This window comes from Homo sapiens, chromosome Y (genome assembly GCF_000001405.40).
Source record: "Homo sapiens chromosome Y, GRCh38.p14 Primary Assembly".
NCBI classification, from domain to species: Eukaryota; Metazoa; Chordata; class Mammalia; order Primates; family Hominidae; genus Homo; species Homo sapiens.
In genome coordinates this window covers 25,844,820-25,850,740 of record NC_000024.10, presented here as the reverse complement: position 1 = coordinate 25,850,740, position 5,921 = coordinate 25,844,820, and positions in this window count along the sequence as shown.

The following is a 5,921-nucleotide window of genomic DNA, read 5'->3' as shown; positions in this document are numbered from 1 at the left end:
AACCACAAAAAAGATATTGAGGTGTTGTTTCAAGGAGGTCCAAAGGTTAAGGCTCTGTAAACCTTGCTGAAATTCTGCCCAAATTTTTAAAGATGGCTGAAATGCTTCAGCATGCTTATTCAAGTTAAGGATTTTACTTTGTAAATCATTAAAATCAAAAGTAACATTGGATGTGAAAACCCCCTGTAAATGGGCCTTTACAAGTTTCCATGGATATTTCTTTTGGTTTTATTCCAAATTGGTTACACAAATATGATTTTGGTTAAAATTACACTGCAATTGCTGATGCAACTACAAGCTTTGTACTTGTTTTCGGAGCCACAGAACTGTGGTCTTTAACATTGGTACTTCCATTGTATCTCGGTGTTAAGTTTAATTTTAAACACCTATGCCCAGTCAGCTGTACACATCCAATTTTCTACATATTGAGCTGTTTGGATGGAGCTGTGCATTGCTACTAAGGACCCCACAACAAATGTTATTAATATACCTAAGGAGACTTTCACAGAAATTATCATGCCTAAGGCTCTACAAGCACAATGCATAAGCTGAGTAAGAAAAAGGTTTACAAAATGTAAACCAGAGGTGGCCACCCAAATCTCAGACAGATTTACAGGAATCCATAATCTTGGATTGTGACCTAGCATTATTAAGGGGGATATGCTGTATGTTTGTATTGTGCTATGATTAACGGAATGATACAGTTGACAGGAATCATAAGTCAATTGGGCATCATTTACCTGGACTTTTTTTTTTTTTTCTGCTAGAAAAACAAAAGTTTTAAAAACACAAATTGTAAATTGGTAATATTTTCTACCAAAGTAACATTAAAACTGTGTTGAGCACAATTCCTAAAATTAAATAGTGTTCTGACACAAATGCTGCCATTCATAAAGGGAGTGCTGCCTTCCCTATTGACTCCTGAATTGGACTTCTCTTTCCTTGATAATGCCATTGAGGCAAAGATGGGCTCAAGCCTCTTCCATGCCAAGCAAGCTATGCTGCAGATTGGGATTGAATTCCAGTGCAATGTAGTGAAGAGTTGCTAAAGTTTCTTCACCAGTGTCATCGAAGTTCTCACAACGAGGTCGGATTCTCATCTCTCCCATCTAAATGACCACAGGGTCCCCAGTCAATAATGTCTCCCACTAGCATGGACTGTTAGTCTAGCTAGGGTGCCAAGACACTGGGTCCAATGATGGGGGTAAGAATTATCAAAGGAAGCCCATTCTGTATAATTAATACAACTTGGGTGATGGGGCTGGGAGTGGTTATTAGCTATAACAGTAATGTTAATAGAGCTAAGGCCTAATAAGTACATAATTTTTCCATAGTAACTCAACCATGCTTGGGATTAAATTGCAAGACAACTGCAGTTGAGTGATGTACTCTGGGTGACACATAAAAGAAGTCCCTGCAATGGAGCAGTATAATTGATAATCATTGTTCTGAGAGTCTAATTGTTCTGTGTCAGGGGAGTTTGGTATCCTTGTTCCCACACTCCATGATCATGATAGATCACAGGGGGACTGTCAATCCAAATTACAGTCCATAATACTCAGGGATTGGAAACATACGTCCAATATGTTTTTGTCTCTGCACAGGGAAAACAAACTGCACAGGGTGTTACAGGTAGCATGGCCATAAACGTGAAGTCAGGGGTTTTTACCTGAACTTGGCACTCCAGCACTTTCAGCTGGCTCATGGCTTGTAATGGAGGAGCCGCATCCATAGTTGGGATAAATGGCTCTCTCCAGTCTCCCTTTCCATGGTCACAAACACCTTGAGGGCACCCACACATTTTATCCATCTCCTGCAAAAACACAAGCATTCCCTCCTCCTTACATTAGTAAATCTACTGAGCCTGTCCATCATCCTTCTTCTGGGTATTTCATACTACCTTTCAGTATACTCTCCTTTTTCCCTCTAACATTTACCAATGTCCTTCTGCTACAGTCTTACTATCTGTGACAAAAGTCAAAAAATTTAAAGCAAATAAATTTGAAAAAATTAAAGTAAATAAGTAAAAGTAAACATAATTTTGTTTGAGGTGGTATCTGGTCTCTTATTTTTGCTTTCTGTTTTTCCAGCACATGTTGTAATGTTTGATTTGCCCACTGTATAATTCCTTGTCCTTGAGGGTTGTAAGGAATTCCTGATTCATGAGTGATTGAACGTAGCTATAGTTTTTTTTTTTTTAAATGATAACTAACATAAGCGAGTCCATTATCAGTTTTTTATTTGTTTGGGGACCCCATATGAGCAAATGACAGACAATGCCATTGTACATGACCAGCTCTCTGATCTGTTTTGCATGTAGCATTCAGCAAATGAGAATAAGTGTCTACAATCACATGAACAAAGGAGAGCTTGCCAATGGCAGCCTCATGAGTAGCATCCATCTGTCAGATTTCGTTTGGAGCTAAGCCTCATGGGTTATAGCCTTCTATAGATGCGACTCCAGGTACATGCTGGAAGATAGGACAGGCTTACGCAGGCTGCAGCCTGGCTGTGAGGCAAATCAAACACACAAATAAAGGCCGAGGGGTTTTGAAGCAGTAATGTATGAGAAGCTTGAGCTTGTTGAAATGCAGAACAAATCAATCTATCTGCTCTATCATTACCTAGAAATAGTGTAGAGAGTTGTGTGGGAAAGCAAATATGAGAAATATAAAAAGGAGCAGCACAAGAGCAAAGGGCTTGTTGAAGTCTTAGAAACAAGTTAAACAGCTCTGGTTCTAGGATGCCTTAAATAGTGGCAATCTCAATGTGACTGGCTACATTACAACATAGGCTGAATCATAGACAGTGTTAATAGGAGATGAAGCAGTGAGTTGTAAAACCTGAATAACTGCCATTAGTTTTGAGCGTTGAGCTGAAACTCCAGGGATTTTTATTCTTTGAATAGGATTAGGCCCATAAGTAGCGGTGCGACCTTTGAAAGAGCCATCAGTAAAATAGGTCTGGCTGCCTGAAATGTGTTTTTGATGAGTAATCACAGGGAAGATGAAAGGTTGAACTTTTAAAATTGCTAATTTTTTTCTGATGGATAATATTTATCTATTATTCCTACAAAATCTGCAAGAGCAATTTGCCACACAGTCAACATGTCCCATGCTGCAGCCTGTTGTTGGGAATCCAATTTTTTTCCCTTCATACTTTTAGACTTGCTCTAAAAGGAGAACAATATTTTTTTTCTGGATCATATCTCTTAAACATTTTGCATGTATGCCTACCCATTGTTATAAGTTGAGTAATTAAAGAAAGATAAACTTGCAGATACTTTACAGTCTGATTGAATTTTTTTAAAAAAGCCATTCTATTACAATTACAGATTTTTCTATGAACTGGTCTAAAAGTTCTGCTGGAGAATTGGGGGTAGAAAGAATAAAGAGAACCAAAGGTTTTGTGGCTGTAGTGGAGAGGTGGGTGTTTGCTGAAGCATTTGCTCTACAAGCTGTAAGTTAGTAAGTTGCCAAGGAGAATATAATGAATAATCTCCATGGAGTGTCTGAGTGTTTGAGTTGATAAGTTTCAATTAACACCTCGCATTGGACACAGCCAATTTATATCCCCTAATAATTTTTGGAAATCATTCAAGGTTTGTAATCTCACCCTATGGAGGACTAATTTCTGAGGTCAAACATTTATTTCAGTAACAGTAGCACCTAAGTATTGGTATTGGGAGATTGTTTCTACCTTTTCTTGAGCTATTTTGAGATTCCATTTAGGCAAAGCCTGTTTTGTTTCTCTGAACAATTGGTGTTAATTGTTCCGTAGGAGCAATCAAAAGAATGTCATCCACATAATGAATGATGAAGGCAGTAGGAAATATATTCTGAGGCTCCTTTAATGACTGTGCTACAAAATGCTGACATAGCATGGGAATGGTGAGCATGCTTTCGGGTAAAACTTTCCACTGGTAATGAGAGACAGGCTCTTTTTGATTGCTAGAAGGCACAGAGAAAACAAATCAAGACTTATCCATCTCATGTAAGAATATAGTCAGGAAAGAATTTGTAAGATCTACCGCTACGAGAGGCCAGTCCCTTGGAATGGCTGCCAGGAATGGCAGACCTTGCTCTAATGCACCCATTTATTTAATCTGTGCATTAGTAACTCAAATCATGTAGTGATTTGCTGGGAAAACTATCTCTTCTCTATATACTAAACTTTTGCTGAAACTTTACACTTGTGTTCCCACTACTTAATCTTTTAAATTAAGTATTTATGTGTGTGTATTCCAACTAAGTTTTCAAAGAGCAATGTCTTTCTTCCTGTTGGGAATAAAGATTCTACTATCCGTTCACCTTACTTTTGTCTTTTGCCCTCCCTTTTTCTAGATTTTTTTCCCTTCATACTTTTAGACTGGCTGTAGTAAATACATTGTTCATCTTCAAATCGTTCTGTTGCCTGAAAAGCTGCCACATTTTCTGACATATATAGAATCGAGTTTAGGAGTAATGTAGCATCTTTCCACATAAAACGAAACACCTCTGTAAGATTTTGGAATGCCTTTATATATCTATCAGAGTAATCAGAGAACTTGACTAGATATAAATTTGTTTTTTTAAAATTCTGCAATAAAAATTAAACCTGAAGTTTAGTAGTACCACATTTATTTGACATTTTCTGCAGGGCCTACAGGGAATGTAGGGGTTTATTGGGTGGCACAGGGAGAGAAACTGATGATAAGGTGGTTGGAAAGCATGTGAAAGAAGGGCAGGTATGGCATTTAGAAGTTGTATTTAAGGGGTACGCAAAGGTTTGTCTCTCTAATTTTGGGAAATTATCTTCTGTAGCCTTGCTTGACATGACTACAAAAAGGCCAGAATCAATTTTACAATGCTTACAAAGGTCTGGGTTGTCTCCCAAGGTAAAGAAAGCTTGTACATCAGAAACTCATACTAACGGATCTTTCATCTGAAGAAAACATCTGATAATTAGATACTTTCAAATAAACTTTTATCTCAGAAGGCCAGGTGTTTTTGTCTTTGAGCTGGTGTAATTTCCATACTTTTGTGCAGTACAATATGAGCCTTATTTTTTCCCAGTTCGAGCAAAGCTTTTCCTTTAGGTACCTTTTGTTCTGGTTTGGTGAGAGGGATCCGTTCCTGATGAGGGCATCTCTGTCCAACTCTATTCATACACCAGGATGCTGGAGGACAGAGTCTTGGTTTCTGGCAGGCTGGCCTCTCCATTAAGACTAGTCTCTCACTTCTCTCCCCCTCACTTTCTCTCTCTCTCTCTCTCTCTCTCTCCCACCTCCCTTTCCCTATCTCCTCCTTCTCTCATTCAGGTCTCCTAGAGACCTCTGTTTAGAATGGGAATAAGAAAAAATATTATAAACTCTGTGTGAATGTGTGCATGATTGTGGAAATCAAGGGCTTGCACTTGAAATTCCAGTTTGTAGCTCCACAGTGAAAGCTATGGGTTTCAAGTGGGCCCTCACCTGCAGTTTCGTGGCTACCTCATAAGGCTTTAGGCAGCATCAGGCATAACTCAATCTGAGCGGGTGGTTTATATTGGCCTGCCAATGCTAAGAGGAGCCTACGTTCCCTTAGAGGGAGTGGCTAGGTTGGCCTCTGACAGATCCCATCATGGGACCCCTCCCCTTGTTTGTCTATAAAAGTTGCCATAATTGTTTATATACCCTGGGGTCAATTGCCTGTTTTTTTTTTGTCTATTGTCCTATTGGCATTTATTGTCCTATTTAGTGCTTGTCAAAGTTTCTTATGTCAAGTCATCAACACTGCCCAAGAAGTCTGTGCAAGGACTTCTTCAAGGTCCTCAGTGCTGATGTTTTATCACAGGAGGTCAAATTTCTCATCAGTCATTTCAGCTGGCCATCTCATTCCTGCCTTTTCAATCAGAAACCAATTAGGTGTTGTTACGGGAATGAGGGTGGGAAACATTTTCCT